Genomic DNA, 20,574 nt, shown 5'->3' on the forward strand with positions numbered 1-20,574 from the left:
CTGCCTAAGAGTTTCAATACTAACTTTCTAATCTCTGGAAACTAATGAATTCCAGCTTTTTTGTAGTCCCAGGATACTAAAGAGAAAAAATTATCGTTTTACCATAACTCTGCATGATTTTTAAACTTGCCTATTGTTATAGTTTTGACATTTGTCCCTCCAAGCCTCAGGCTGAAATGTGGTCCTCCACACTGTAAATGGCATGAAGGTGAGGTGTTGGTTTGTGTCATGGTGCTGGATCCCTCATAAATGGCGTGGCACCCTGGCCATTGTTAATAAGTGAGTTTTCTACTGTATTAATTCCCACAATGAAGCTTATATAGAAATAGGTTGTTGAAAAGAGCCTGATACCATCTCCCCTTCTCTCTCTTGCTCTTTCCACATATGACATGCCTGTTTTCATTTTATCTTCTGTGCTGAGTGGAAGCCTCGTGAAGCTCTCACCAGATGCAGATGCTGACACCACACACATCTTTTACAGTCTGCAGAACTAGGAATCATTGAAAGCTATTTTCTTTATAAACTTTCCAGTCTCATCCTTTCATAGGAACACAAGAGACTTAAGCATGTATCTCTGGCTGATAATGTGCCTTTATCGGTAAACAGTGTACCTCAGCATTCACTATTTCTTGCGTTCCATAGGGGACAAAGAAGTGGTTTTTGATGGTCCAATGAGATATTCCTTAAATCCAAACCTTGGCTTTCTCTAACTTTCAAGTTCTCCATGAAGCACCCCAAAGTTTTACACTCCTCCCTTTGGATGAGTTTTTTTTTTTTCTTTTTTTTTTTTTTGAGATCCAGTCTCACTCTGTCACCCAGGTTGGAGTGCAGTGCCATGATCTCAGCTCACTTTGACCTCCTTCTGCTGGGTTCAAGAGATATTCCTTCCTCAACCTTCCAAGTAGCTAGGACTACAGGTAAATGCCAACAGGCTCAGCTAATTTTTTTTTTGTATGTCTAGCAGAGAGGAGATTTCACCGTGTTATCCAGGATGGTCTTGACCTCCTGACCTCATGATATGCCTTCCTCATCCTACCAAAGTTCTGGGGTTACAGACATGAGCCACTGTGCTCAGCATGGACCAGTGTTTTAACTTGGCTGTTTCTAGGGTCTGGTGTGACAGAACAGGCATTCTATGATTCTGCTAATTCCTACCGCTCCAGAAAAAAACTCAGCTCACAACTATCCTTAGATAAGGACACCTTAGTGAATGATTCTATAACTTGAGGTTGAATATATGACACCTTTTTTGACTAGAACTGAGAATAGCCACACACATAGGATAAAAGAATAATTTTAATTTGATGTTTTAAATTTTTTCCTCCCCAAGCCAGCATGGTGTTGCACACAAAATTTTTCCCAGACTCACAGTTTCTTCAGAATGGAGAGAGTTGAAAATGTACACTCAGGCTTTTCTTTTCCATTTTGCAATTCTTCACATGATGTTCTCTCTAGTCTTACCCAGTGGGAAATATTGAGGGTATCAGACAACCGGGGTCAGTTAGAAACAAACTACATGGATGGGGCTCACATTGACCATAAAAGTAATCTTACACTTGCATTCCAGCCAGCAGAGGTGCACCATCAGGGAAACTAGGCAACAGCATCACTCTGCAGCAACCAACCATGGTTGATGCATCTGCCATGCTCAAATCATTAGCCAACTGCCATATCCCAACCTGGCTTTCTCTGCAAAACTTCCCAAGCTGTGACAAAGAGGCAACTAGGTGATTATCCACAGAAGGGGCATGTGACCCCACCCAATCCCAGCTGCCATATACTTTTGACCATCCTAGCCCTGTGTGTTCCATCAATCCCCAGGCTGAAAATCAGAGACAACTTAGTGGTTAAAGATAAAGTTTCTGGCTCTACCTGGACCCAGTGGCCAAGTAGCTTATATAATAAGCCTTGGTACCCCTGGAAGGAAGCTCACTTCTGATATATCTAATGGAAATCACTGGGGCATTAGAATCTGTAGAAGACATGACTTTATTGAGAAAAAGAATCCCAGTCTCAGCTTCAGCCCCTCCCTCTGCTGCTGGGAAGCAGCTACCCTGCTGGGGAACTTGCCTGTCTGAGCCAATGAATGTAGCCTATGCAGGCTCTATCCAGCAGGAAATGGATCTAGACTCTCCAGTTTTTTTCCCCTATGGGGAGGACCCACTTTCAGCTTTGGGCCTTCCCTAAGTCAGAGAACTATATAATCTTTGGGAAACTTTCTGGGCAATATGCGACTTTCTTAGCTGAGAGCAGGCCCTAAGTGGTCTGTTCAACAGCAGATTTGGTCAAGGGAGCTGATTTTCAGCCCCAGGGCCTCCTGCTGCAGGCAGAAAACTAGCCCATCTGTACAGAAACATTCCAGTAATAATCACAGCCAAAATTACAGCCATGCAATTTTCTGTTCCACAACAGAATCAAAGTGGACCCAGTCTTAGCTCCAGCCTGTCCAATCTCAATTTCCAAAATTGGATCATTACTAATAAATAACCTACCAGCCAAAAAAAAAAAAAGCTGAGAAACTGATAGATTCAGGATGCATTCTACCATATCTACAAACAGTTGTATCATATTCCATTATGTGGGCGATCCTATTTTGTTCAACTGGTTTTGTATGTATGCTTACACACACACACACACACACACACACACAAAATGCACACCACTGTTTCATATTTTCTCTAAAAGCAGCAATGGAAATGCCATGCTGGCCTCTGGTATTATCTGAGGGCTTAGTGGGGAAAGACCCATTCCTCTGCTTGCATGACATTGTTGTCAGCAGCCTTGTCCACAATGGCAGTTTTTCAGTGGTTTCTTACAGCTCTCCAGATAACCTGCAATTAGGTTTATTTATATGGTTTACAATATCTTTGTTAGCCTTTATCTCTAAACTTGAGGCTGGATACAATTGCTAAAGTATGTAATTTCAGAACTTTGGAAGGCCGATGTTGGAGAATCCTCTGAGCCCAAAAGTCTGAGACCAGAGTGATGTATAATTCAGCCTGTTGACAGAGCAAGACCCCGCCTCTAAGTAAATAAATAATAAAAATACAACTGATCATAGTATTTTTGTTTCACTGTTCGGAAACACAAATCTCCTTGATCAAATATATGAATATTTGATAGTCACTAACATAGCACATTGGCTTGTGCATGGGAACCAGTGCAGGAAAGCAGTAAGATGGGATGCTCTTTCTTCTTAATGCCTGAACATGTATATACTGTGATGATAGGACGTGAGTTTGGACCAGGAAGGTTTCTGCCAGAGCCATCAAAACTGTGGAAATAAAACCCTCCACAAGTCAGGAAACAAAACAGCCTTTACTAGTAATAGTAAATGGAAAATCTTTTGCAGATTTGATTTCATTTTTAATTTAGCATAGATTAGGCAGCATAATATAGACTACCTTGCCCCAATAGTATGCAATTGGATGACATACGTCAATTAAATTTGTTGAAAACTAGGTTTCAGCTCCTCCAAGAAGCTTAGTTACTTGAGTAATTTTGACAATACTCATAGTTAAATGAGTAATTTTGAAAATATATAGGTGCTTATTTTAAAATTTCTGTTAGTCCACCAGAGACCTAAATATTACTAATATTATTGTAAACATAAAATATTACTTTAAACATAGTTTGAAATTCATGTGGATAATGAGCAAAATCATAAGTTTTTATTTTTATTCATTTCCTTTTGGTTTTATGCCTTTCATTCTCTTTCTCCTTCCTTCCCTTCTTCCCTCCCTCCCTTCTTCCTTCTCTCCCTCCCTTCTCCCTGTCTTTCTTTCTTCCCTCCTTCCCTTCTCCCTGTCTGTCTTTCTTTCGTTCTCTTTCTTTTTCTTTTTCTTTCTTTCTTTCTTTCTTTCTTTCTTTCTTTCTTTCTTTCTTTCTTTCTTTCTTTCTTTCTTTCTTTTTCTTTCTTTCTTTCCTCTAACTCTGTATCTCTGTTTAATATTTTTAGATGGAATCCTGCTCTGTTACCTAGGCTGGAGTGCAGTGGCATGATCTCAGCTCACTGCAACCTTCCCATCCTGGGTTCCATCAGTTCTCCAGTCACACCCTCCTGAGTAGCTATGACTGCAGGCAAGTGACAACAATCTTAGCTTTTTTTTTTCTGTACTTTTAGTAAAGACCAGGTTTCACAATATTTGCTCAGGCTGGTCTCAAGCTCCTTTCCTCAAGTCATCCACCCACCTTAGCCTCTCAAAATGCTGGGATTTCAGTCATAAGCCACAATGTCCACCCAGTGTTATGCATTTCTCTTCTCAGTGATCTCTCCTGTCTATTTTATTATTTTATTTTGTTTTTATTTCTGAGACAGTGTCTTGGCTCTGGTGTCCAGGATAGAGTGCAGTGGTGTCATCTTACTTCACTGCAAACTCTGTCTCAGGGTTTCAGTGGATTCTCCTGCATCAGTCTCCCACATAGCTGAGATTATATCCATGGGACACCAAGCCCGGCTAGCTTTGCTATGATATTAGACATGGGATCTTGCCATGTTGGCCAGGCTTATCACAAACTCCTGACATCAAGAGATCCACCCACCTTGGCTTGCCAAATTGCTGGGAGTGCAGGTGTGAGCCACCATGTCCTGCCTCATATCTGTTTTAAAGCTCAGTTGATAAGCAATATTGTGTTCCTGGAATGCTTTATGTATATGAAACCACTATAGCACCATTATTTAGCCCCTTCAGATAAAATATGATAACACACAAAACATACAGACACAGACACAGACACAGTCAGTGATTAAAGATCAGTGTAGGCCAGGACCTAAAATGATATATGAGTTGCTGCAGTTGACTAAAATTAAAGCAGACCAGAGTTGGCAGATACCCAGAAAAGAGATGTGAACAGTCTTTCAAAGTACTCCATCAGATACATGTTAGATTATTCTCCAGCCATAGCAAAGGGAAATTAAATATCTGTTTTGTTTAGAATAGTCTTGATTGTTTGACTTTTCCAAGGTATTAGCATTCATGAAGTTGGCCTTTAAAGCTCTCCAAAATTACTCAAATCAGTAGACAACTCAGTTTTTCCAGGAGTCTAAAGTGCTTTTCAAAATTATCAAAAAGTTAGTGGCTTCAAACAATAATTATAATTTACTAACTGTCAGTCTCTAAAATCTTCCACAGTCTCTTAGCCCAGTGATTGTGGTTCAGGGGCACTCAGGAGGATACAATCTAGTGATGGCTCAGGATGGGGACATTGTCAGGTGTCTTCTTATTTCCCTGGTGCCATGGCTAGCATAACTCAAATAGTGGAGGTTGGGCTGCTGAGATCCTCAGGCATCTCCTTTTATTTCTATGAGTCTCTCCATGGGATGTCCATTCTGCATAGTGTTATCAGGGTGTTAGACTTCATGATGTACTGGTCTGAGGCTTCTGAGGGGTTTGTCCCCATGACAGCAGGAGACTTAGGCAGAGCTGTGTCACCTTTTCTAGCCTAGGCCAGAGGTGGCCCAATATCCAGAAAATGCTTTCACTGTTTTCTATTAATTAGAAGCAATTACTGTGTTCTGTCACAGTAGGAATATTTTCAAATTGGTTTGCAAAGAATTTCAAAGTGTGTTTTAGACCATTACGGTGGCCATGCCTAATAATTACTTATTTTTATAAGTGCTGGATGGGTTTTACCCAACGTAATATCAGATACAGACTTTTAAGCTTGAAACCTGTGTCATAGCTCTGAACATTTGGTTGTATGTTGAAATAACTCTCAAGCAAAAATTGATTTTGAAATTAGCACTATAAATAAATTAAATAAATGAGGTAAAGTCATAAATATCTGCATGAAATGCTTATAAAGAGGTCAGCCTTAAAAATGTCATGAAGTCTAATATGCCACCCTTTTATTATTTCTACGGATATTACTTGGACTGGAAGACAAGGACTCAGGAATTTGCTGGTCAATCTCTGCACCTGGAAATAGTGGCTGGGGCACCAGGAGTAATACTTCGGGCCATGGCCATGTAGTGAGGACAAGGAGTCCATCTGGGTTAAGGAGAGTGTCACTATATCTATCTATCTATCTATCTATCTATCTATCTATCTATCTATCTATCTACCTATCTATCTATCTAAAACACTATATATATATAACACTATATATATAATACTATATATATATTAAAAAACACTATAACAGAAACTCAGTAGTCATAGTGAAATCAAAAAATAATCACAGTCAATTTGATCTCATACCTAGACTGAAATATGAAACTTCAAAAGAAAAGAATGTTAAGAACTTTGGGCTTGTCAAAATTTTCCTACATAGATAAAATTATTGGTGACTTTAACTCACTAGAAAACATAAACAAAAATCGATGTTTTGTATATGTGTAAATGAAAATATTTTTATTTCTATTAGTTATGACATGCAAACAAGTAATAAAGTGAAAGTACAATAATAAATAATAAAATTATATAAGGAAATTTATGTGTCAAAAAATTCCATTGAGACTATCAATTTTATAAAACTGTAGAGAATGCTTCATGAAACTACATTATACATTACTTTTTAGTATTTCACTTACATTTTAAATAATCAACAAATTAAAGGAAATTCTGAATCATTATTTCTTACCAATATCATTATTCTACTCAAGACATTCTTCTGATATTAAATATTTTAAATAAAACATTAAAAACAAATTGTATTCACTGATATCAGCTTTTGATGAAATAATACTTCTGTATTTGTAATCATGTTAAATATATCTTTCTCCTCACAATGGATCTTTTGTAGCACCAGTGTTGTTATTTTCTCTGATACAAACCCTGTGACATCTCAGGGCGTTACTGTCTCCACACATTACATACCTCCAGAGAGTAGGCTCCAAACAGATGGAAAAATTATATCTGTGACAAAATTCTAGGAAAGGGAATGATAAAACAGGAGAATAATTTCTAAATTTCTAACTGTTCATCAATGGATTTGGATATATTTATATATAGACAAATATTTGCACACTGCAAGTTTGCACATGTGCACATAAATTTATAAGAGACACCCATAATGTGTGGGTTGTGTAATCTTTCAATTAATTCTCAATTTTACATGTGGGAAACTTGATAAGACTTTACCTTCATCAAATACTCAGTTTGAAGTACTATACTCAATTTGATGTAAAGCCAACAAAATCTCTGTCAACATTTATTTCAGTTAATCCAATAATATTAACTGCTGATAACTTTATTCTCCTTGTCCCCTGTTAACAGCTGAAAGTTGATTCTCACCCTAATTCAGCACTCAGGGTGTCATCCTCAAGAGACTATCACCTTGGTTTGGACTGTGACCTCTGACTCCACCACTTTCATCCTATAGCAGTCCTACCTTTGTGTAATTAATGAACTTTGTACATGGTTAAAAAAATAAAAATGCAGTGAAATGTCAGGCCATGCTGTGAAATGTTCCAGCGTTTCTATATCTCAAATTGACCTTTCATGTTATAGAAGATAAGAAAAACAATTCATTTCTTAGTATTCAGTCCAATGCACCCTTTCTTATTAATATGCCAAACCTGTCCCTTCAAAGCACTGACATTCAAGCACAGATAGATGTATCAAAATTTATTCTCAACAATAACCATTATGTTAATAACTGTTGCCCAGATCTGGACCCTGCCTGTGAAATCTTTGGTTGGAAATTGCTACAATCGCTCAAACTAGGGGAATTACTATTTTTTTGGCATAATTACTGCTATCATCTTACTGAAAAATATCATATTAGATGGCAGCTTTTAGTTAGATAAATCCTGTTGATTAATTTTTAATATCTATCATTTATGATATTGTACAAGTAAAGATCTTTGATAAGTTAAGTGGTTAGCTGAGAAACGAGTAAAATAACTCACAGCAATTCAAACATTCATTTACTTACTTGAAGTGACATACATCATTAACTTCTGCTGAAAGCAAAGTTGGGAAATTGCAAGTGCTAAATTGCTTACTAAAGCATGTATTTCAGGGTATTTTATAAAACTATCCATGCCATGTATGATGCTTCACCAGCCAGGATAAAGCTTTAGCATATATATATGTATGTGTGTATATATATATATATATATATATATATATATATATATATATATGCTATACACACATTTAGCATATATATATATGTGTACACACACACATATATGTACACACACACATGTATATGTACACACATATATATGCTAAAGACTGTATATCTATAAAGTCTTTATGTATGTATAAAGACTGCATATACACATAAAGACTTTATATATATATAAAGACTATATATATATAAAGCATAAAGACTTTATATATATATAAAAACTATATATATAAAGACTATATATATATATATAAAGTCTTTGGTTTTTAATGCATCTCTACATTTGTTTTCACAGCCTCAGCAAAAAAAAAAAAACACCCATGTACTTGACTTTCAGCTCAGTTGACTACAAGTTATTAGGGTTTAAGTAAACAGAATAAAGATTTCAAAATTTGGTGACCAAATATAAGAAATCACATTCTCACCATAAGTAATAATTATTATGAAGTGCCACTGCAAATGTAAAGTTGAAAGAAGAAATTAAGTCTAATATATTGCAATATTCTAAACTCTAAAATTTCCTCTTTGAAGTCTGGTGGTTCACACCTGGAATCACAACTCTCTGGAAGGCGGAGAAGGGAGGATTGCTTCAAACCCAGAGTTTGACATCAGCACAGGCTACACAGCAAAAACTATATCTAAAGTGTAACTACTTATTTAATTGGTTAAATTGGGCATGATGGCCTAATCTATTTACTCAGGAGTTCACAGTTGTAGTTAGCAGTGATCACACACTGCACTTCAGCCTGGGCCTTGAGGCAAGACTTTGTCTCTACAAAATAATTCAATATAAAAAGCAAAATAAATTAAAATAGAAACACTTTCAGGTGTTTTTTGAAAGTTTGTATAATTGCTCTAAAATCCTAGACATTGTTTAAAGTTGAGCAGTTCATGGGGGATTGGGTAGTGAACATTGTTTATTTTGTTTTCCAAAAATTAAGATAAATATTTATATAAATATCTAATAACCTTTTATACAATAAATATTGAGAAATGTCAAGCCATTGTGTTCATAGATTTTCCTTCAAAATATTAATTTAAGAATGAAGAGAAGAGCAATAATTGGAATGTACTCTGACCAGTGTTACAATATATGCAATATAGTAACTTAGTTGGAGAGGAAGAAAGTTCTTAACTGGGTTTACAGGGGTGTGGGGAACCTTCTTAGAACAGGAACAACTGACAGCATCTGTAAGGACACAAATTTTCAAGAAGAATGTTTGGGAGAAAAGCATTGTAGAAAAAAAGAAACATTCTTTCTATCAATGATAGAAGTACAACAGTGTATATGATGCCATCTGCCGAATGCTTAGACCATTCTAGCTCAATAAATATTTCCTGAAAGAATCCATGAATGGAAGATATTGGGAAAAGGATTCCAGAAGGGATTTTCAAAATCCTATAAAGGAAAGGTAAATAGCCTGGACTTTACCATTTTTGCCTGCTTTTCTTTATGTTCTTTTTATGTTTACTACCTCATAAGCTGTTTTACTTTTTGGTCTTTTCACAAATATCAAGCATGAATCATTCCTGAGAGTAATTCTCTCTTCATCCCTTGATACTGTATTTGTCTTTGATACTCCTTTGTGTGAGGCCCTGGGTTTGCATGCCCACAGCTACATCACTCACGTCTCCCTGGCACTGTTCTGTAATAGAGAGGCCTGGCCTCTGGGAGGTAGGGATCCTAGGCTCCCATAAAAATTACTTCCTCTTTCAGTTCAGTCAAGGGGTGACACTGCAGAGATAAGAGAACAAGAAGATGAGAGAAGCCAGTTTGTTTCCTTTTCCTTCTCAGTAAGAGATATGTTTCTGCAGTGATTCCATGCCTGCCGGACATGCTATCTGTGTTTCCATTTTGCATTCAGCGAGCCTAATCCTAGACTGGCTCTTCTAATGCCATTTTCTCCAATTGTCTTCTCTAAAGGTGCTATTTTGGAGTTTTAAATTTTAAAATATAATGATATGGAAGGAGGGCAGGGAAGTGCCTGGTAGAGGAGGGTGTGGTTCTTGGCTAGGGATCCACCATCACGCCTGTGCTCACTGACCTAGGTGAGGACACACACTTCTATTTTCTTGCCCCAGTTGGTGAGGACATGTGTTTCTGTTTTTTTGCCCAAGTGCTGCATTTTCCAAGACCACCCTGGCCTGCCATACCCCCATCCTGTGCTATAAGAAACCCTGAGACACTAGCAGGCAGATACACAGCAGCTGGACATCGAGAGGAACCATTAGCACAAGAAGACACAGCAACTGGACCTCGAGAGGACACCAGAGCAAGGAGAACACAACGACTGAGGCAGCAGGCCACTCACCACAGAACACAAGGTTTCATGGGGATGTGGGAGGACAGCTCTGAGCTGTCCCATTCCAAGGGAAAACCACGTTCCCACTCCATCTCCATTCTGGCTCCCCATCCATATGCTGAGCACTTCCAATCAATGAAACCTTGCACTTATTCTCCAAGCCCATGTGTGAGCCAATTTTTCAGGTACAGCAAAGCAGATAAGCTCAGGATGTGGAAAGCCCTCTGTCCTTGCAGTAAGGCAGGGTGTCTAATTGAATTAACACTAGTAGCCTACAGATGGATAAACTAAATTAGCACCGTGTAACACATGCCCGCTAGGGATTCAAGAAGTGTAAGCATTCACCCATAGATGGTACCTGGGGTCAGAACCCCAGATCCCATCCTTATTGATCTCCCAGCTGCAGGTAATAAGGGATGTTTTCCCATTCCAATATGAATCTGTTTCCAATGCAGTGTATTCTGCAATACTGCGGTGTTACCTTATTGCATATGTTTGACAAAATAATTTACAAACTATAACTAATCTGAGAAGAAAACAAATGGTGGAGAATAAGGAAGAAAAATGAAACATTATGTTTCACAATGAATGTTAACAATTATAGGTATGATTAATCAATACATGAGACCAGCCAAGCAGGTGCTTTATGTCATGAGGGAGCACTACTCCATCATCTTGGGCTTTCATTCTGGGACAGAGAGTGTGAGCAGCTATAAGGTCAGATAGAGAAGAGGACACAATCTGGTGAGGTGTGGATTGTGTCCCGCAAGTGCACCTGCAAAAAAGGTGAAGACAGATGACACAGAAGTTCCTTGCAACTGCATTACCACATCCTCTTAATTGCACAAGCCATGCACACCAGGGCCCGGTGTTCAAGTGGGAGTTCTCCAACATGCCATGAACATGTAGAGTACAAACTGGGGCTGTGCACTTAGAGGGCTTTCAAACACCGGGCCAAATGGGAGTGGGATGGATTGATGCTGGGTGGGATGTGGCCTCCACAGTTGCTCTTTTTTTTTCTGACTTCGATCTTCCTCATTGAATTAGGGTTTCCTTGGTCTGGCTCATTGTCTTCCATACTAAACATCTCCCAGTTCACAAAGGATGACCCTCATAGGAATCCATTGTGTGATTGTTTTCTTCTAAACACTGTCACATTTTAATGACTTGGCAGCTTTAATATTTTTAAAACTGTAAATTCCTTTAGAGCTGCCAACAGGGAAACTCTTGTTTTCCCACTTCTATCGGAGGGTGGCTTGATTCATATGGAATGAGAAGCAGGCAACTGTGTCTAATATTTGCCTGGTAATCTTGGCTCTGTTTCGTTTCATCTGCACGTCTTTTCATATTGTCACGGGTCTCTTTCAATGGGCTGTTGCTGGATGGGACTCCCTCTCACTGCAGGTCTTTTGACTGCAAGGAATTTCAGACAGCAAAGAAGACTTCAGAGAGACTGGCTGAGCTCCAGGTTGTGGGTCATGGTTGCATTGTTGGGGGTGAAGATTTTTGCAGTTTGCAGGAGGATTTTGAGTCCTCTGACAAGAATCATTGAACATTGCTTTGACTCCAGCATTTTGCAGCTTGTTCTCTCAGGTAAGCATTGATTTTTCTTGGCTTTCCTAGGGATTCCACATTGCCCATCAACTGAACTACTGGACACCATTTTCAGGTTTGCAATTGCCACAGATGGCCTCTGAGACACTGTCACAACTTCATCTGCCTATAGGCAAGGCCAGTTCGAGGTGAGAGAACACTGCTCCACCTTGAAATTGCCTTTGTAGTGGTTCTTGCCTTTCCCAGAGAGCCCCTGCAAGGCCCAGGATGAAGGGAGGCAGTGAGGTCAAGAGCCCAGCCATCTTTTGCAGACACCTGCCTCTGGGGTCTCAGGTGTGATTCCATCACATAAAGAACCCTCAACAACTCACTGGCCCCTGTCCCAATCCCCATGGGACCTGGTTCTTGCACATGGTCTCTTTCAGGAATGGAGTCAGAACAACAGTTTCCAGTGACCACCTCATAGCTTCTAAATACCTCCTCTTCCACCAGAACTCCACCACCAAGACGACACGATGGGGCAATAAGTTTGAGACTTTTAGGGTCATGCAGGCAACCTTTTTCTCAATACCAGGACGGCTCTGCCTGTACCATTTTCCTCTGCTTAGGCAGCTGATGGCTCTGACAGGCAGGCACCTGATCCTGTCTCATGAATGTGCATGAGCTAGTCTTAAAGCACCAGGTCTGAGCAGTGAGCTCTGGCTAGTGTCACAATAAATGGAACCATTGCCTAGCGACAAGTCCCTGCACCTTTGTGGAGAATGAGACCTCTGTGGAGGTGTGTCAGTGGTGGACTCTTGCCTGTCTTTTCTGTGGGATACACAGGACAGTGCCATGATTCTAGTAGATGGTAGATGTGAGCCAGCCCGAAGGAACATCAAGGAGAGTTCCAGGAATGAACCGTGAAATCCCTAAGGATCCAAAAGGATATGCAGGTTGCCTCCAGCCTGGTTACATGTTTCAGGGGTTACTCTTTTTAAAACTTGTCTCAAAATGATTACTACATATAGCCCACCTGTGTTCCCTAGGGTAGCTGTTTCCCAGATGTGTCTGCCTGCAGAACCATGCAGCCTCAGAAGCTGGCTTGCTGTTTCTGTGGGAGTGCTGCTAGTAGTGGATGTCTGCTTGTGTGTGTGGCTTTGTGTATTTGTGGGTGTGTGTGTGGGAGTGTGTGCCTGTTAGTGGAGTCTGCTTAAAATAATGTGGGCAATGCATTGCAGCACTTCTTCTTCCTTTTTTTTTTTTTTTGAGTAACCTAACATTTGTTTGCCTGTGTGTGTGGTTCTGCTTGGGATGCAAGGCTCCGTGTTCTTTATTTTTCTGTGGATCATGAATCTGTAGTGAATTAGGAGTCTGACCAAGATGAGCCAGAGTCCAAATCACCTCCCCCTGAAAAAAATTTACTTTTCCAGAAAGAAGAGCAGCACGTCATACCCAAGACCAACATCTCTCAGTGTTTCACGCTAACCCAAGGAGAGACACTAGCAGTCTTCTCTGCAGGACCCCTTGAATTTACATTGAATTCCATCCCCAGCCGAGCAGGTGCTTAAAGTCAACAGGGGACACTCCATTTTCTTGGAATTTCATTCTGGCAAAGAGGGTGTGAGCAGCAATAAGGTAAGAGAGGGGTTAGGACACTGTCTGGTGAGGGGTGTATGGGGTCCAGCACCTTCAACTGCAAAAAAGGTGAAGACAGATGAAACAGAAGTTGCTTCAAACTCCATCGCTGCATTCCCTTAATTGCATCAGCAGCGCACACCATGGCCCCATGTTCATCTGGGAGTACTCCAACATGAAAGGAACATTTGGAGTGCAAACTGGGGCCATCTGGGCAAACCCCAGATTCATTATGATAGCCGAATGGGAGTGGGATGGATTGATGCTGGGTGGGATGTGGCCTCCACACTTGCCTCTTCTTTTCCTGACTTCCATGTTCCCCATCTGCCTAGGGTTTCCTGGGTCTGGCTAAATGTCTTGCACACTAAATGTTTCCTAGTTCACAGAGGATGACACTCATGGGAATCCGTTGCACGAATGTTTCCTTACAAACACTGTCACATTTTAATGACTGGGCTGCTTTGATATATGTAAAACCATAAATTCCCATTACAGTTGTGGGAAAAGAAACTGTTGCTCTCCAACTTTTATCAGAGGACAGTGTATTCCTGGAGCATGAGAAGGAGGCCGGTGTGTCTGGCTTTTGCTTGGTAATCTAGGATGTGTTTCATTGTATCTGCATATCCTTTCTCATTGTGGAGAGACAATTTCATTGGGCTATTGCCAGATGTGACTACCTCTCTCCACAAATTATTTAGCTGTCAGGGATTTCAAAGTGCAAAAGGGACTTTGGGTAGGCTGGTTGCACTCCAGGTTGTGGGTGATTGCATCATTGTGCGGGCTGAGGTTGTTTGCACTTTGCAAGATTTGAGTCCTCTGACAAGAATCATTGAACATTGCTTATACTCCAGCAAAAGGCACTCATTTTCTCAGGTGAGCCTTGATTGTTCTTTGCTTTCTTGGGGAATCCACAGTGCCCCTCATCAGCACTACTGGACACCCTTTTCAGGCTTGCCATCACCACAGAGGGCCTCTAAGACACTGTCTCAACCTTATCTGCACCCGTGAGAGGCCAGTCTGAGGTGTGGGAATACTGTAATACCTTAGTCTTAACTTTGTCTTGGATTCTGCCTTTCCCAGAAAGCCCCAGTGAGGTCAAGATAAAGGGAAGCAGTGAGGTCAAGAGCTTGGCTATCTTTCACTGACACCTGGCTCTGTGGTCTCAGGTTTCAGGTATAAATCTATCACCCAAAAATTCTAAACAACCTACCAGGCTATATTCCAATCCCCATGGGATCTGACTCTTGCACACAGTTTCTTTCTGGAATGGAGCCAGAAGAGCAGTTTCCAATGATCACCTCGCAGTCTCAAAATGCCTCTTCCTCCAGCGAGACCCAACCACGGAGACAGCCCAAAGGGGGCCTGAGGTGAAGACTTTTATGGTCTGATAGTGAGTTTTCTGAGGCAGCATTTTCCCCAGTACTAGGCTGGCTCTGCTCCAGGAATAAACCGTGAAATCCTTAATGATCAAAAAGATCTGCAAGTCTCCTCAGGTCTGCCTAGATGTTGTGGGGGTGAGTAGTTTTGAAACTTGCCCCACTGTGATTTCTAGGTACACCCTGACTGTATTCTCTGGTGTTGCTCTCTCCTAGGTGGGTCTTCCTGAAGAACCAACCAAACTCAGGAGCTACCAGGCTGCTTGTTTCTGTGAAAATGTTGTGAGTGTTGGATGTCTGCATGTGTGTGTGCCATTGTGTGCTTAGGGGTGTGTGTGTGTGTGTGTGTGAGTGTGTGTGTGTTTGCCTTTAACTGGAGTCTGCTTAAAGGACTGTGGATAATGCACTTCAGTGCTTCTTTTTTTGAGTCTTCCAAACTTCTGGTTGCCCCTTGAATTTACCTCAAATTCATTTCATTGCTGAGCAGGTGCTTCACATCATGAAGGGATATTTTTCCATCATCTTGGGATTTCATTCTGGGACATAGAGTATGAGCCACAATAAGGTCAGAGAGGAGTGAGGATACAATCTTGTGAGGGGTGAACTGGGTCCAGCAACTTTGCCTGCAAAAATAAATAAATTAATTAATTAATTAGTAAATGAAGACAGATGACATAGCAGGTGCTTCCAACTCCATCCCAGCATTCCCTTAATTGCACAAGCAGTCCACACCATGGCCCAGTGTTCAGGTGGGAGTACTTCATTATGTAAGCAACATTTGGAATGAAAATTGGGGCCCTCCTGGCAAACTCTTGATTTGAGGTTTTTCATACCCAGAGGCAAATCGGAGTGGAATTGATTGATGCTGGGTGGCATGTGGCATCTACACTTGCCTCTTCTTTTTCTGACTTCCATATTCCACATTGGCCTAGGGCTTCCTTGGTCTGGCTCAACAACTTCCACACTAAATGTTTCTCAGTTCCCAAAGTGTGACCCTCATGGGAATGCATTGCCTGAGTGTTTTCTTCTAAAAACTGTCACATTTTAATGACTAGGCAAGTTTGATACTTTTAAAATTGTAAATTCCCATTACAGCTGCCAACAAGAAACCTCTTGATCTTTCACTTCTATTGGAGGGCTGCATGATTCCCATAGGATGAGAAGCTGACACCCAAGTCTGGCTTTTGCCTGGGAATCTAGCCTCAGTTTCATTTCAACTGCATGACCTTCTCATTGTGGAGGAGCTCTATCACTGGGCTGTTGCTGGAAGGGATGGCCTCTCACAACAGATTATTTTGCTGCCAGAAATTTCAGAAAGCAAAAGGGACTTTGGGTAGGCTGGATGTGCTCCAGGTTGTGGGTCATTGTCTTGTTATGGGGACTGAGGTTTTTTTGCACTTTGCAGGAGGCTTCTGGGTCCTCTAACAGGAATCATTGAACATTGCTTGGACTCCAGCTCAAAGCAGCTATTTTTCTGAGTCAAGCCTTAGTTTTTCTGTTTTCATGGGGAATCCACAGTGCCCCTCAAAAGCACTACTGGACACATTCTTCAGTCTTGCCATCACCACAGATGGCCTCTGAGACACTGTCTCAACCTCATCTGCACACGTGAGAGGCCAGTCCCAGGTGTGAGAATGCTGCTTCCCCTTGGACTTACCTTTGCCGTGGTTTCTGTCTGTCTCAGAGAGCCCCTGTGAGGCACAGGATGAAGGGACTCAGTGAGGTCTAGAGTCTGCTCCCCAGGTTGTGGGTAATTGTCTCATTGCGGGAGCTGAGGTTGTATGCACTTCAGAAGGGGCTTTTGGGTCCTCTGAAAAGGATCATTGAACAATGCTTCAACTCCAGCACAATGTACTGGACACCTTTTTCAGGCTTGCTATCACCACAGTTGGCCTCTGAGACACTATCTCAACCTCATCTGCAACCATGTGAGGCCAGTCAGAGGTGTGAGGACACTGCATCACCTTGGACTTGCCTTTGTAACTCCTGCCTTTCCCCGAGAGCCCCTGCAAGGCCCAGGATGAAGGGAGAGGGGGAGGTCAAGAGCCTGGCCATCTTTCACTGACACCAATGTCTGGGGTCTCAGGCATGATTCTGTCACCCAACAAACCCTCAACAACACACCAGACAATATTCCAGACCCGTGGGACCCAATTCTTGCACACAGCCTCTTTCTGAAATGGAGGCAGAAGATAAGTTTCTGGCGATGACCTCACAGTCTTGAAACACCTCTTCCTCCAGTGGGACCTGACCACGGAGATGCCCCAAAGAGGCCTTGAGGTTGAGACTTTTATGATCCCAAAGTGGGTTTTCATAGGCAGCCTTTTTCTCAATACCAGGCTGGCTCTGCCTGTACCATTTTCCTCTGCTTAAGCCCATTGACAGCTCTGAAAGCCGGGCATCTGGGCCTGCCTGACAATGTGCATACCCTAGTCTAAAAGCACCAGGCCTGATTGTGAGCTCTGGCTAGCCTCACAGTGAATGCCACCGTTGCCTAGCAACAAGTCCCTGTGGCTTGGCAGATAAAGGGACCTCCGTGGATGTGTGTCTTCGGTGGACTGTCCCATGTCTTCCCTGTGGAATCGACAGGATAGTCCCATGATCCAAGGAGAGGGCAGATATGAGCCAGCCTGAAATAATATCAAGCAGAGCCCCAGAAATAAACTGCAAATCCCTGAGGATCCAAAATAATCTGCAGGATTCCTTAGGCCTGCCTAGATGTTGTAGGGGGTGAGTCTTTTTCAAACTGGCCCCACTGTGATTTCTAGGTATAGCCTGCCTTTGTTCCCTGGGGTTGCTCTCTCCCAGGTGGGGCTTCCCGCAAAACCACACAACCGCAGGAGCTGCTGGGCTGTGTGTTTCTGAGGGAATGTTGTGAGTGCTTGATTTCTGCATGTGTGTGTGTGTGTGCCTGTAAGTGGAGTGGAGCCTGCTTAAAGGAATGTGGCTAATGCACTTCAGTGATTTTTTTTTTTTTTGAGCCTCACCACTTTTGATGGCCTGTCTGGATGTCTCTTCTTTGGCTGTGGGGCTCTGTGTTCTTTATTCTTCCATATATCATGAATCCTCAGTGAATTGGGAGGTGGGCTGGGATGCGGTGGTGTCCGAATCACCCCCACCCATGCAAAAAAAGCCACTCTTCTTGATAGAAGAGGGGCACATGAAATCAAAAAAGCAGGCATCTCCTAGAGTTTGATTGTACTGTGGCCAAACTAGGGAGAGACACTAGCAATCTTGTCCAAAGGGCCCCTTGAATTTACCTCAAATTGGTTCTCTGCTGAGCAGATGCTTCACATCGTGAGAGGGCAGTTCTCCATCATCTTGTGATTTCATCTTGGGACACAGAGTGTGAGTAGAAATAGGGTCAGATGGGAAAGGATATAATCTGCTGAGGGGTGGATGGTGTCCTTCAACTTCACCTGCAAAAATACAAAATGAAGACAGATGACAGAGAAGGTGCTTCCAAATATATTCCAGCATTCCCTTAATTGCACAAGCAGTCCACACCATTGCCTGGTGCTCTGGTAAGAGTATTTTCAATGGGCAAGAAATATTTGGAGTGCCAACTGGGGTCACACTGGCAAACTCCTGTTTTGAGGGTTTTCATACCCGGAGCTAAATGGGAGTGGAAAGGATTGATAATGGGTAAGATGTGGCCTCCACACTTGCCTCTCCTTTTTTGATTTTATGTTCCTTATCAGCCTAGGGGTTCCTGGGTATGGCTCAATGACTTCCATACTAAATGTTTCTCTGTTCATGGAAAATGATCCTCATGGGAATCCATTGCATGAGTGTTTCCTTCTAAACACTCTCAGGTTTGAATAACTGTGCAGCTTTAATACTTTTAGAACCATAAATTCCCATTACAGCCACCAAGAAGGAAAGTCTTGTCCCACTTCTATCAGAAAGCCACATGATTTCTGTAGGATGAGAAGCAGGCAGCCATGTCTGGATTTGCCTGGTAATAGAGCCTCAGTTTCATTTCTTTTGCATGGCATTCTCATTGTAGAGGTACTCTTTGTTGGGATGATGCTGGATGGGACTGCCTTACACAGATTATTTAGCTGCCAAGGATTTCACACAGCAAAAGGGACTTTAGGAAAAATCGCTGTGCTCCAGGTTGTGCATAATTGTCTCTTCATGGGGGCTGAGGTTGCTTGCACTTTGCAGGAGGCTTTTGGGTCCTCTGGCAGGAATTATTGAACATTGCTTAAATTTCAGCATGAGGCAGCACATTCTCTCATGTGAGCCAATTTTTTTTTTTTTTTTTGGTTTATTGGGTGAATCCACAGTGCCCTTCAACAGTGCTACTGGACACCCTTTTCAGGCTTGCCATCACCACACATCGTTTCTGAGATACTGACTCAACCTCATCTGCACCCAATAGTGGAAAGTCTGAGGTGCAAGAACACTCCTCAATCATACACTTGACTTTGTTGTGGTTCCGGTCTGTCCCAGAGAGCCCTTGCGAGGCCCAAAATAAAGGTAGGCAGTGAGATCTAGAGTCCAGCCATCTTCAACTGGAACCCATCTCTGGGGTCTCAGGTGTGATTCTGTCACCCAAAGAACACTAATCAACACACCAGACTACATTCCAATACCCAGGAAATCAGATTCTTTCACCAAAAAGCAGATATCTCCCGGTGTTTCATTTTCCTGTGGCCAAATCAGGGAGACACACTAGCAGTCTTGTCCTCAGGTCTCCATGAATTTACCTCAAATTCAATTCCCAGCTGAGCAGGTGCTTCACATCATGAGGGGTTACTCCTCTATTTTCTTGGGATTTCATCCTGGGACATAGAGTGTGAGCCGCAATGAGGTCAGATAGGTGTGAGGATACAATCTGGTGAGCGGTGGATAGGGTCCCACAACCTCACCTGCAGAAAAATGAAGACAAATGAAACAGAAGGTGCTTCAAACTCCATCACTGTATGTTCAGATGGGAGTACTTCACAGTGCAAGGAACATTTGGGGTGCAAATTGGGGCAACCCTGGCAAACTCCAGATTTGAAAGCTTTCATACCCGGAGCCAAATGGGAGTGGACTGGATTGATGCTGGGTATGATATGGCCTCCAGACTTCCCTCTTAGTTTCCTGATTTTCATGTTCCTCATCAGGCTAGGGTTTCCTGGGTATGGCTCAATGACTTCCACACTAAACGTTACCCAGTTCATGGAGAACGACCATCATGGGAATCCACTGTGTGATTGTTTCCTTCTAAACATTGTCATATTTTAATGACTGGGAAGCTTTAATACTTTTAAGACAGTAAATTCTTGTTACAGCCACCAATAAGAAAACACTTGTTCTCCCACTTCTATTGGAGGGCTGCATGATTATTGTAGGATGAGAAGCAGGCAGCCATGTATGGGTTTTTGCCTGGCAATCTAGCCTCTGTTTCATTTCATCTGCATAGCCTTCTCACTGCGGAGGGGTTCTTTCATTGAGCTCTTGCTGGATGGGACTGCCTCTTGCCACAGATTATTTTGCTAACAGGGATTTCAGAGAGCAAAAGTGACTTTGCAGAGACTGGTTGCACTCAAGTTTGTGGTTCATGGTCTTATTTTGGGGGCTAAGTTTGCTTGCAGTTTGCAGGAGGTTTTTGGGTCCTCTGACAGGAATCACTGAACATTGCTTGGACTCCA

At 41.9% G+C, this 20,574-nt stretch overlaps 1 long non-coding RNA gene across 1 annotated transcript; it reads left to right on the top strand.

Annotated features, from left to right (window-relative positions):
- Positions 1 to 12,735: 12,735 nt before the first annotated feature.
- TTTY8 (testis expressed transcript, Y-linked 8) lies at positions 12,736 to 15,335 on the top strand. The gene is made up of 3 exons (NR_001533.1): positions 12,736 to 12,871; positions 13,349 to 13,553; positions 15,146 to 15,335. It is a non-coding gene; the product is annotated as a testis expressed transcript, Y-linked 8 (long non-coding RNA).
- Positions 15,336 to 20,574: the final 5,239 nt, after the last annotated feature.

This window comes from Homo sapiens, chromosome Y (assembly GCF_000001405.40).
Source record: "Homo sapiens chromosome Y, GRCh38.p14 Primary Assembly".
Taxonomy (NCBI): domain Eukaryota; kingdom Metazoa; phylum Chordata; class Mammalia; order Primates; family Hominidae; genus Homo; species Homo sapiens.